The sequence below is a fragment of the Homo sapiens genome, chromosome 9, assembly GCF_000001405.40.
Source record: "Homo sapiens chromosome 9, GRCh38.p14 Primary Assembly".
NCBI classification, from domain to species: domain Eukaryota; kingdom Metazoa; phylum Chordata; class Mammalia; order Primates; family Hominidae; genus Homo; species Homo sapiens.
Window position 1 is genome coordinate 104128556 of NC_000009.12, and position 13578 is coordinate 104142133.

The 13578-nt window shown below is 34.9% G+C and overlaps 1 protein-coding gene across 21 annotated transcripts in view; it reads left to right on the forward strand.

The window, feature by feature from the left end:
- The window catches only part of SMC2 (structural maintenance of chromosomes 2), a 53157-nt gene extending 40293 nt beyond the window's left edge, over nucleotides 1–12864 (forward strand). For 18 of the 21 annotated variants that reach the window (XM_011518149.4, XM_047422644.1, NM_001042551.2 and 15 more), the window contains 5 exons: nucleotides 1090–1290; nucleotides 3454–3570; nucleotides 5860–6020; nucleotides 9463–9610; nucleotides 10584–12864. In XM_011518149.4, the coding sequence (XP_011516451.1) occupies nucleotides 1090–1290; nucleotides 3454–3570; nucleotides 5860–6020; nucleotides 9463–9610; nucleotides 10584–10760 (804 nt within the window). In that variant the 3' untranslated portion in view covers nucleotides 10761–12864. Of the gene's footprint in view, nucleotides 1–1089; nucleotides 1291–3453; nucleotides 3571–5859; nucleotides 6021–7292; nucleotides 9440–9462; nucleotides 9611–10583 lie in introns of those variants that run through there. The other 3 variants (XM_047422648.1, XM_047422649.1, XM_011518153.2) reach the window with 3 other exon arrangements.
- The last annotated feature ends 714 nt before the right edge of the window (nucleotides 12865–13578 follow it).

A 13578-nucleotide genomic window follows, 5' to 3' on the forward strand; every position in this document is an offset into this window, starting at 1 on the left:
TACAGGATGCTTTCAAAGAGTTTACAGGTCAAAAGGAAGATACACTAGAAATGATAATTGTACTTTGGGGCCTACAGGTGAGACCATATCCATGGAATTAATACAAGTCAATAAATTAACAAGGATTGGATTCTGCCAGTGAGAATGAATCATAATTCTAGTAGAAGAAAGTCTTCTTTAGGCACTATAATTTGAACTGTATAATCAGTTGTATTACATGAAAAATTATTATACAGTGCCTTTTTCAATATACTGTGCCTTTTTCAAAAGGTGGGGAGCAGGATAGAGTCAATGTTTAGGGCAGTTTCTTAGAATATATTTCTGAGAGAAAAATTATTAGGTCTCAGTCAGCATTAGGCTTCCATGATTTTTACCAAATCTATGACTTAAGTATTAAAAGAGTTTTAGCTTCTCATAAGTTGTGTTTTGAAGCAATAGATTGAATTTGGTAAATTCTGAAGGAGTTCTACCTGACTTACATTTCATTCTAATGGAGGTGCTTTGCGTATACTTCGTAAAAATTTCTCTGTGAGTTGGCTCTTCTAATGCCAAAGTAATAGGAAGATCTTTTGCTATACAGTGTCTTGTTTCTGTAGTCTGTGTTCCAGGTAAAAATATTCATCTTTATTCTTGTCAGTAATGAAACTCATTTTTAAAAATGAGTCGCCTAGGCACGGTGGCTCACGCCTGTAATCCCAGCACTTTGGGAGGCCGAGGTTGGCAGATCACCTGAGGTCGGGAGTTCCAGATCAGCCTGACCAACATGGAGAAACCCCGTCTCTACTAAAAATACAAAATTAGCTGGGCGTGGTGGTACATACCTGTGATCCCAGTTACTCAGGAGGCTGAGGCAGCAGAATCACTTGAACCTGGGAGGTGTAAGTTGCGGTCAGCCAAGATCGCGCCATTGCACTCCAGCTTGGGCAACAAGAGTGAAACTCCATCTCAAAAAAAAAAAAAAAATTAGTCATTGAAGGTTTTTTCCTCTTCAGTATTTGATTCAAAAGTATTAAATAGTTAAGAAACTGGCTTATACATATTGGTTTGTAAACATTCATAGATCTCCCATCTATTTTTATATGTGGCTAGGTATCCAAAATGTTGAAAGATTATGACTGGATTAATGCAGAGAGACACCTCTTTGGCCAACCCAATAGTGCCTATGATTTCAAAACTAACAACCCTAAAGAAGCTGGTCAGAGACTTCAGAAGTTGCAAGAAATGAAGGAGAAACTAGGAAGAAATGTCAATATGAGAGCTATGAATGTATTGACAGAAGCTGAAGAGCGAGTAAGTCAATTTCTTATGAATATCTGGCCGCATTAGAACATGACTAGCATTGACAGCTCTGTATGACCTCTGATGCAATTATTAGAGTTAACCTTTTGCAGATGTCCTTGATACTTTTCTTTCTGCTTTCCTTTTTCTCTTTTCGTCATTTTTTTCTTATTACTCTTATGCATCATTAGTTGTTTTTACATTCTATTACACCTGGAATGACTTTTTCACTGGCTTTTGTTCTTTGTCAAACATAATTCCTCACATTTCTATCATTTCATTTCTTTCACTTGCATTGAAAAGCCTTGAATAGGATATACTTCTGTCATCCTCTTGACTCTACTGTATACTGAAACTATATAAGTAATGACTAAAGCCATTATACACATAAATACTGTTTCACTGATCTGTAAATTCTGCAGCCTCTTCTCAGTTTTAATGCTCTCAATTACTCAATAATGTTATTCTTCCCTAACCTGACAAAACTTTGAGTCTGGGAAGGGAGTTTACTGTCATCTAGTGATGAACTTGGGAGGACCTATCACTAGAAAAACCCAGTGGGGGAAGCATTCCCTACTCTTAAGATAGCCATAAGAAATGGCTATCTTAGTAATTTTATATTAATGCCCCTATTAATGCCCCATACCTTCCTGAATGCTGGAAAATTCTGTTTGAATTTGCAAATCAGAGTAAAATTCATGAGAAATCTGCGACACTGATAATAGCACAGTTACTTTGAAGAAATTTTACCATAATTTTTTTTAACTGTTTTTGGCATGAATATGCACAAAGAGTCTATATTATATTAGATACCAAACAGATGAATCATGCAGGTATTGTGATCTCTCTAGAAAATGCTCCTGCTGGTTTTCATTTCTACATTAAAGCTTTGCAATATGTGATATATTTGTAGAAGGAAAACTTTGGTCTGAATTTGATCTGCATAACATGAAACTTGTTCACTTTTACTCGTTTACTTCTATTAGATGAGACCTGAGTCTAATATTTTTTTCAAAAGAATTTATCAACTCCCATCTCTTTACCAGAGGAGAAGCCTATATTGTTGATCAGCAGATGGCCTTTTTTTTTCTTGTGTTTTGTATCTATCTACATAAGCAATTACATGGATTTTCATGAAAAAATAAGATAAAAATGTAGAGAGAAGGTTAGGGGAGCGTGGCTGTAAAGAAGAGGGACAGCAAGGAAAACAGCAGGACTGACTAGAATTGTTAAAGGTGAATGTGAAGCCTCCTTGAAATGTAGGGCTTTGAGGAGAAATGAATTAGGAAGAGTTTTAGGAAGTCCCATTGCTGTTCATGGTATGATTATCCCTCTACAGCCTTGCTTGAAGGAAGACTACTCTAAAGTGGTGATATTTGAGCTGAAATTTCAGGCAACCGTTATGTCAGAGAAAGAGCATTCCAGGAAGGGAGAATAGTGCAGGGGCCATAAGACAATAGTGAGTTTATTATGTTCAAAGGAGCTGTAAAAGACCATATGGCCAGAACCTGGGGAGGAGTTTAATGCCATAAAGTCAAGGGATAAATAAGGTCCAATTCCCTTTATCCTGATGCATACAGGGCTTAAAACCTGGTTGATTGGTGCAGCAAGCCATCATGGCACATGTATACCTATGTAACAAACCTGCACATTCTGCACATGTATCCCAAAACTTAAAATTAAAAAAAAGTAAGGTCCAATTTATGTGGTTCCTATATATCATGGTGAAGGATCAAAATTTTGTTCATGTCACTGCTAAGGCTGACCTTAAGAGGAGAGCTTTCAGGGCTCCTTTTACTTAAGTTTATATGTAACACTTTTTTTTTTTTTTTTTGCCTTGGCTGCTAAGGAGATAAGGGAATATTAGTGGAGTCAAAATATTTTAAGGACTTTGTCTTATAAATTCTTAGTTCTAGTAATTTAGTTATATACATATGGATGATTTTATTCCTAATTTTGTTAAGAGTGTGTATATGAGTGTGTATATACACACACATCATACAGTATATGTATAGTATATGAGTATATATAATTCTTAGTGCATTATATCTTTTTGGTAAATAGCAATGTATGTATTGTATATAAAAATAATGAAAACTGTTTATTTCTGACCAAATTCCAGAATATAGAAGAGATTTTATATTTTCCCAGTTAACCATGTTTTTTATCTCATAGTACAATGACTTGATGAAGAAGAAGAGAATTGTAGAAAATGACAAATCCAAAATTCTTACAACTATAGAAGACCTTGACCAGAAGAAAAACCAAGCCCTAAATATTGCATGGCAAAAGGTACTTTTTATGTTTGTTTTATATGAGGTTGCAAGGATGAAAAAATATCATCAGTGGAGTTATACTCTATAAGAAATTTGAAATAGCTGATCTATGTTTGAATGAGGCACATATTCACACCTTAATTAAAACCTCTGACTTTTAAATGCATTTTTTTCTTTTTGAACTTGACTACTACCAGATCCTGGCATTCTTGTACTTCTGTAAGAATTGGATAGTAAACAAGCCAAGTTTAGTATTCTCTTTTACAGGATGCTTATTCAACAAAATCCCAATTCCATTTTGTTTTATGACAACTTTGGCAGATCTTAGGCTTCTTTACTGTTACTTCTACTTCCCTGACTTCATGTATCTGTCTCCTATAGGATAATTCCTTAGCCTCTCATGTGGAAGTTTTTCCATTTTTACTATAGCGGAAGATTCTTACTTCAGAGATTCCAAACATAGAGTTACTGTGCTGTTTGGTAGTTTAGCAAACCTGTGCCTTCTGGGTTTTAATGGGGCACCTTGCCTCTTTTTCTCTTTGTAATTCTGTAGGAACTCTATCTTCAGTAATGCAGCACAATTATCCCTTTTAGTCACCTTGTTTTTTTCTTCTCTAAGACTTATTTTCAGTGCTCCATTCCCTGTAATATTTTTCTCTTAAAAATGGAAGCAAAAGGCTGACCCTATTAATTAGTGTGCAGCATGTCGATTTAACACTGGATCTGAGAGGTTTTTTTTTTTTTCTTTTTTCCCACCAGGATTCGTGGACTTAGTACAAATCAGAATCTATTGTCTAAACATATCCTGCTCTTCCCAAATTTCCAAGGTTCTTCCAAAGCCAGTAACATTTATTCAGTGCTTATTATATGCCAGTCACTATTCTCAAATTAATTTTCTCATCTAATCTTCACAATAATCTAACAAAGTAGGTACTGTTATCAGCATTATATTCTTCCTTCTGGCTTCAGGCTTACTTGATTGACAAAGTGACAAAGCCAGAGTATTCTAGGCTTTTTTTGTTTTTGGTTTGTTTTCTTCATAGCCTCATTGGACTTGCAGAATTCTCTTTTATTTCATCTTTATATCGATCTATGAATATAACTCATTTTCTGTGTAGCATAGGGCTGTATTCTTCTCTGTCCATTCTCTTTTGGAGGAAGTTTCACACTGGGTCTCTGGTTCAAGTTTAGTAGCATTCCTCTCTCTTGGTCCTGAGCTGCCTGTCCCACACTTGGCCTAGAACCTGCTTCCACTCTGTAGGATATTATTCAGCAGCCATGTACTTGCTTTTAAAATGTGTGTTACTTAGTAAATCTATATTTAGGATCACTGCTTGTGTCTATGAGATTTTCTTGTTACTATAAGTATTCATTAAAAAGTATATTTACATTTGAATATTGTATACCTGCATTGGAATTTGGAGATTTCTCTAGAGAACTTGGCTGTCAAGTCCTTTGTGTGTATGTGTGTTATGCTTTCAAGTTTGACTGCCGAACTAAGAATATTAGTCATGTCTTTGAAGACAGATGGCCAAATTCCCAAATCATCAATCAAGTGCGTATGAACAAAAATTACCCTATTACAAGCTAGGATTTTGGCCCTAAATCTCTGTCTCCTTCTATGGCAAGACAGGGGCAGGCCAAACAGCTTTCTTTTCTCTTGGGATGTAATCCTGTTTCTGGCCCTCAACAGCTTAACCTCTTCGGCTAGGAGATGAGGCATGTAGAAAAGAAGGCTTTAACAGATCTGGTCCTTTGATTTCATGCCCCTTTTTCTCCTGGGCCTCACATTGATCTACTTAGGCCTTTGGACAACAGGAAAAAGAAAAGTTTTAGAGGATAACATTTTATTCCAAAAATACTTGTGTTTTTTTGTTTGCTTCTCTATTTTGTGTTTTTTTTCCTCATGTGATACAATTGTGTGTATCTTGAGGATTCCTGCAGTGTGTTCTACAAAAGTGTCAAAACTTTGGACTAGAGTTAGAGGTGTGCCTTCTAGTTCCCCTGGAAATTAGAGCAGGATTCAGTAATTCATTTTTGTAAAGGGCCATATAGTAAATATTTTTTGCTTGGGAGCCCATCCAGTCTCTGTTGCAACTACCTGATTTTGTCTTATCACTAGCACCGATAGACGCTTTGTAAATGAATGAGCATATCCAGATTTTTCACATGGGCCATAGTTTGTCAGCCCCTGAGTTAGAGTAATAGACAAAGTAGACCTGCTGTGTTGCATATACATATATCAACAATTGATTCTTCTTGGAAAGCATCCTGATGTTTTAACTTTTTTATTTTTTAAATCCAGGTGAACAAGGACTTTGGGTCTATTTTTTCTACTCTTTTGCCTGGTGCTAATGCTATGCTTGCACCACCAGAGGGTCAAACTGTTTTGGATGGTCTGGAGTTCAAGGTTGCCTTGGGAAATACCTGGAAAGAAAACCTAACTGAACTTAGTGGTGGTCAGAGGTGAGGAATCACTTTGCTATATTATAATTTTCATTCCTCTTTATTATAATTCATCTCCTTACCTTAAAACTGTATTTGTGTTTTAACTACCTTTGCATGTAGAATTTAAGGAGTCTAATATATAAGACTAAACAATTTGGTTAAAACATTTGATTAAAATAGGTGACAAAGGAGGAATAAGCAAATAGAAAATTAGACAAAACATGTTTTTAAAAAATCTATTTTCAAATATTAGAAAATGAATAGTCCAGGACAAGATGAAACAGAAATGCTGAGCCCTATGTTCACCCTGGCTTTCTCTCTAGAGGCAGTTTTTGGACTTCAGTTGCCTAAACAGAGGTCAGTAGTATCACTAAGTTAAAAAGACAGATTAGAATTTTGCAAAGCCCTAGAGTGCTGCACCTTGGCATTAGGTCTCTACTGTCCCTGAAGTGAAGCCTAATGTAGACACATCCTAAGAAACTGAACAAATTTTTTGAAGGAACCAAACTGTTATTTGTTTATCAGAACAAAGGCCAGTGTTCTTTAAAGAAGGTTAAAAAAAATTGAGATACTAAACAATATAACCACAATGTCCAGCATGTAATCAAAATTAAAGAGAAAAATTAGTGAGTAGAAACAGACTCTGAAATGACAGATGATGCAAGTAGGAGACAAGTTAATCCAAGAAAACATGAACATAATGAGAGAAATAGAAGCTACTAAAAAGAATTAAGTGAACTTTCTAGAGATTAAAAAAAAGTTTACTGCATGAGATTAATAGGAGATGAGATACTGTAAAAGAAAAATCAGTAAATTTGAAGACATAGCAATAGAACAGAATCTGTTCAAGCTACATTGAGAAATAAAAAACTGGAGAAAGAAAAAACAACCAGCTTTAGTGTTCTAAGGGAAGCTGTCTAATGGGCAAGTAATTGGAGTTCCAAAAAGAGAGGAATACTTGAAGAAATCATGGCACCATGTTTTCCAGATTTGATGAATTCTGTAAACCCACAGACTTGAGTTCTATCAACCTCAGGCAGGATAAACAGAAACACATACAAAATAACAAAGCAAAAGATACATAAAACTGCTGAAAACCAGTGATAGGAGAAGAATCCTAAAAGCAGCTAGAGGAAAAGAGACATTATGTGCTAGTGAACAAAAATAAAAATGACTTTAGACTTCTTGTTAAACACTATGTAAGCCAGAAGTCTGGAACATCCGTAAAGTGCTGAAAGTATATGTCAACTTAGAATTGTATATCTAACAGAAATATTCTTCAAATTGAAGGCAATATGAATACTTTTCAGACAAAAACAGCAGAACCATACTACAGGTTAAAGGAAGTTCTCAGGCAAAAGGAAAATGATACCAGATGGAACCTTGGATCTACATAAAGGAAAGAAGAGTGTTGGAAACTAACATGGATTTGGAGTTCAGGGAAGTTTCTCCTGACCTTACACAGTGATTCAGAAAATCAGCATAGTGATAGAAACCTAAAAGGTCATATGTCCTTACACCTTACCTACCAATAGCCAATTAATTAAAACCTCCTGAAAGAAGGTTGTCAACATTCACATAATTGAAATTCGTGATTCATTTAGTAATTGGTTTTTTTCTCCTGCATGGTATATAATCCATAGGCCTTGAATTATTGTTCTCTGTCCTGTAATTCCATCATGTAACCCTTTTTTATGTACTTAGAAAATATTGACACCTGTTAATGTTCCTTATGACCCCCTTTATCATTTTTATGAGTAGAAATATATTTTATTTATATTTTTATAAAATTTGTAAATAAGAATCAAAAATACAGCTCCTGCTGCCTGTTCATAAAAATTGGATTCCACAGTTTAGTTCCCAATATCTTTAGCTATATTTGCCGAAGCCCTAGAAAATGTTTTGAGGAAAATAGAAAATGTATGCTTCTCTTCTTACTGGGACCTATAAATTATTTCCATAATTAAGATGCTATAAAGTTATTTTTAGATATACCACTATCCAACATGGTAGTTAAACCCTTCAGCACAGCAGAATTTTTTTTTTAAGATTAAGTTTTAAAACTCAATACTTGAGGCACTCATCACAGAGAAAGACAAAGAAACATAATTTTAGGTTGGCTGAATGAGTTTAGCTCCCTTTTATAGAGGTGATTAACAGTCTCACTGTGATTTGGTTTTGATGATACTGTTTTATTCTTTTTTTTTTTTTTTTTGGCTAGCAATTTTTCTCTACTTGTGCACACATTTTTTCCCTACTTACATATTTCTTAATAAATAGCCCTATTAGAATGCAGCAAGCCTTCGGCCAGGTATGGTGGCTCATGCCTGTAATCCCAGCAGTTTGGGAGGCCAAGGCAGGTGGATCACTACTTGAGGTCACGAGTTCAAGATCAGCCTGGCCAACATGGTGAAATCCTGTCTCAACTAAAACTACAAAAATTAGCTGGGTGTGGTGGCATGCACCTGTAATCTCAGCTACTAGGGAGGCTGTGGCAGTAGAATTGCTTGAACCTGGGAGGTAGAGGTTGCAGTGAACCGAGATTGTGCTACTGCACTTCATCCGGGGTGACAGAGCAAGACTCTCAAAAACCAAAAAAGAATGCAGCAAGCATTGAGTTGCCTATTCTAGTACTGTATGCCAGGATGTACTTGAAGTTACAGAATAAGTATATTACAAATGCTACTCTAATTTTTAGTCTAATGTTAAGTAATTATACATATTTTATATTAAAATAAGGCTTTTTATGAATTATATATTTGTAAAGAAAAAATATAATAATAATTATGATTCTTCATACCAGATTAGAATGAGCTGCAGTAAGCTAAAAGAGAACTGAAAATAGTGCTGTGGAACCTGAGATTAGGTGTAACTATGAATTTTACATAAGATTGTTTGAACTTTTGACAGTGATGTACTTAGAGTAATGGCCATAGTCTATACAACTTATTCACAAATGGTACCAAAAAATATATAGATTGTGTGTGTGTCTGTCTGTGTGTATATGCATGTTTATGTAAGTGTTTACATTATGAAAGTTTGAAAAATGACATCTAACTCAGTTACTGTTACCAAGATCATAGTTATTGTCTTAAATAATGACCATAGCTCTTAACCTGCTACCTAGGCTCTAATGAGCCAACTGGGGAAGGGAAACAAAAAGAAATTTTAAAACTAACATGATCTTAAGAATAGGTGCCAAACGTAATATGGCAATATTAAAATTGTCTATGAAAATAGCATGCTTCCGAAAAGAGGAGAAATGGAAAGCTAAAATAAAAGAAATAATATTTTAATACAACAAAAGTGTTAAAGTTTGAAACTCAAGATTCTTTTTTTTATATGACTACCTTTCAGATAAATCTGCTCTATTCACAATAATAGGATCACATATTTGCTTCAGTGTTTTGATAAGTGATAAAATCAAATTTTTATGGCTTTTCTTCTGACCTTTTCTTAGGTCTTTAGTGGCCTTGTCATTAATACTGTCCATGCTTCTCTTCAAACCTGCTCCAATTTATATCCTTGATGAGGTAGATGCAGCCTTGGATCTTTCTCATACCCAAAACATTGGACAGATGCTGCGTACTCATTTCACACATTCTCAGGTAAGAACCAGGAAAAAAAGTCTCAGTAATAGTTTAATTAGACTATTTTTCTAAAACCATTCTTTAGTTAGTAGTCAATGTTAATAAGATATTTAGGGTTGATAAATACTAAAGCATTGTATATCTATTTAAATAGACTTATGTTTAAATAGGTATAGAAGGAAAAAAGTTTCACTCTCCTTTTTAAGAAAGAGCTAGGCATTAAAAATGTTGGTTGTAGCATGAGGGAGATTCCAATTTAGTCATAATACAGAATTGATTTAGGGTTAATATAATTGTTTTCTCTAGTTAACTACCATAAAGATGTACAATCAAAACAAAACTGTCTCCGGGATATTTAACTGAGGTATCAGAAAATCATGTGACACTTGATGGGGAAATTTAATTTCTCATGGCTAAAAAGTAGAACAAAGAAAGCCTCTTGAAGCTAAGAACAGTTTGTTTTTAATGCACTATTGCTGTAGGAGCTGGGGCTGCCAAATATGCTTGCATAAATTATGCATTGTACAACTCTGGGGACTCCACTCATAGTTACCATGGATTGTGTATTTATTATAGCAGTGTTTTGGCAAATAACATTGAATGGGGCGGCGGGGCAGTGCCTAATTATTCAGAAGTTCTGTTTGGGCTAGTGGTGTGCTATAGGAACTTGAAACCTTCTTTGATATTAAAATGTCACAAGAAAAATATCTCACTAGAGCAGCTTTAGTTAGCAACAAAACTGAATGCCAGCTACAAAAGATAGCAACAAGCAGTCAACCACCAGGAAATAGTAAAATTGGGTAATGAAGTACCCAAAGTAAAATTAAGAGACTTCTAAAACAATATGGACAGCTAGCATTCATTTAGGTGCCTCATATAACTATTTAAAGAAATAAAATTATCTCCAAACCATTCTTATCACCAGTATAAAGGAGTAAACTTCAAGTATATCACAAAAAGTTTTTTTATACTTTTTTCTTTTTTCCTTAAGTTCATTGTGGTGTCACTAAAAGAAGGTATGTTCAACAATGCAAACGTTCTTTTCAAAACCAAGTTTGTGGATGGTGTTTCTACAGTAGCCAGATTTACTCAATGTCAAAATGGAAAGATTTCAAAGGAAGCAAAATCCAAGGCAAAACCACCCAAAGGAGCACATGTGGAAGTTTAAACTACAAAGTTATTTCTTCATCTTGACCTGTTTTTTTAAATGTAAACTTTTAAGGACTTGAGATAACTAATTTGTTTATATACAAAAATTAATGTTACTGTGTTACTTAACCCATGTTTTCTCTTTATATAATCACTTATCGCTTACAAATGAGCATATATTCCTCATCTCTTAACTAGTCTAATTATGGTCCAATTATTGTGGTTGTGATTTTATGCATATCATCAAATGTTTTTTTCTTATGCGGGTCTTTTATATATTAGGGATCCTGAGATACCCGATTCTATATGTAAAAGCTAATATACAAAAAAGCAGATTAAATTACATGATAAATGTAGCTGATCATCAGTGTTTAATTGATTTAATTCCTAAGGCAATATTAATGTGTTTTCTAAAGTCATTCAGGTAAGGAAGAATTATAAATCAGGTAACTGGACCAACAAAGGGAACACATATAAAGCTATTATGCATGCATGGAGCCGTTTGAGGCTAGTTTTTTAAGGCCACAACTCCAGACCCCTGATTTAGACTGAGATAGGAAACAGATCTTGAAAGAATCCTTATTTTAATGATACATGAATATCATGTTCCTATACGCTTAATAATTGGTCTCTACGTTTTAATGATACATGAATATCATGTTCCTATACGCTTAATAATTGGTCTCTACGACTTTAATGTTTTTGTTTTTTTAAGCTGTGTAAGTATTTTTAAATCAAAGCTTAGGAGGTGTGTTGCGTGGTACTATCTGCTGCAAATTTATCTGAAGTTTGTTAATATTTTCCAAGATTTTTGTCAGCCTTTTCATAATCCAGTCATTAACAACCTATTGGTAAACAAGAATGTAGGTGCCAGTAGACTAAACCAAATTTATTTTTCCCTGAGTCTGATATATATATGTATAAATATAAATAACTCAATCCATCTGTTCCACCAAAATAACTCAAAAGTTGGATGATTATTTGTCTTCCGCTTTCCAGTTCAAAGGGATGAAATTCCTTTAGAACTTGAAAGATGACACTAGCGAACACCATGAGAATACTGTCTACAGTTTTTGGTACGTCATCACTAGAACAGTGACCCCAAACTGAATCATGAAAGGTCTGACATGATGTAATCTGATCTTCCATGTGTTATTTTGGCCCCACATCTCTTCTTGATTTTTTAGTCTTATTTCCTTAGTGTTATTATCATACTTCCCCTGATATATGGCCGTACTTCCTGGCCCTGGGCTTGACATTTCCCACCCTTCATTCTCCATACATATGAGATGTCAGAAAACATGCAGTAATTGATATTATGGGACACATTGGAAAGGATTGAATCTGGAATTAGTTCTGTCCACTGTGGAGGGGAGAGGAAATAATGCTGTAAATGTTGAGTTACAGAAAGTCCAATGTCAAATATAGTTTTTTTGTTTCCTTTCAAATGTATTACAGACTGTGCCAAAACAGTTACCAATTCACACTGTCAATATTAAAGTATACCATAGTATACAAATTAGTCAGTACTTGCTGTTAATTTTAATATTTCTGATTTAACAGTTAGTTATTAAGTGGTACTTCATTGCTGTTTTAGCCAACGTTTTAAAAATAATTTGGGAGTTTGACTATTTTGGCTTACGTACTCATTTCCTTTTCTCTGCTAAAAATGTTTTGCTTGTGTGCGTTCCTGATTTTTGTCTTGTATAATCTTGATCTTTGAAAACCCTCAAACATGTATTAAATTGTTGTAACTTTTTTTCATTAGAGGGAAGACATTAAGGGGATTGGGGACATTTGTTTCACACATCTGCAGTAATATGAGTTAACTAATATTTAACAAGCTCTTTCTTTACATTAGCTGCTGTTCTCATTTGTATGTATTGTCATATTTAATCCTCAGAGTAACCTAGTGAGGTAAATACTGTTGTTGTCAGCATGGTGTAATCGAGGAATTGAGTGAGTTGAGCAGAAAAGTTAGGAAACTTGCTCAGGGTGATAATACAGTTAGGAGTGTCAGGGCCCATGGACAAATCTTGTCAGTCTCCAGAACCTAAGATATACTACGTCACTGACAGCTTGAACATTTGTATTTATTGTACAGAATAAATTTAAGAAAAATACCTGTATGAGCAGTATGTACAACGTGAATGTTACCTTAAAGAAGAACCTCAACCATGTGAAGAGAGGATTCATTGTGGTGGTGGCGGTTTTGGCATTTCAAGTAAGCTCACAGCAAATGCAAAGCAAAGACATGAAATTTTCTCTTCCAATAGGGTGGCATAATCTAAAGGCCAACATTCCCACAGATGATAAATATAGATTCTGAGCAAAATACTAGAAACAACTACCTGAGAGTTCAGGAAACTGAAGAAAAACTAGAAAGATTTTGGATGGGAGATAAAATACGGAGGAAGAGACAGGCACAAGCTAAGGTTAATGTTTTTAACCTAAGTACCAGCTATAGTCATGATGCAGCTGTAGGACAGCTAAGGCTGCAGTGGAAAGCCTGGGGTCTTTCTGGTCTGGAGAACTAAAAGATGGGATCTGGGCTAACCACAGCTTCCAGAAAGTGAAGGAGACGTCTCAGAAGGGATAAACGAGGACCTGGAGAAAGAGGTCCCCAGACTTACTTAGTAGATGAAGTCAGCGAAAGTAATTAACCCCTGAACTCTAGATACAGAACACATCAAAGATAAAGCCAGATACTAGTTAAAACAGTAAGGATAGATTTAAATCAGTAACATACTCTTGAAATAAGAAGAGTCCAGTATGAACTGAACTCAATTTTGATTTGTATTGAGGTGACTGGGTGTCTTAAAGGGAGAATGAGGGAA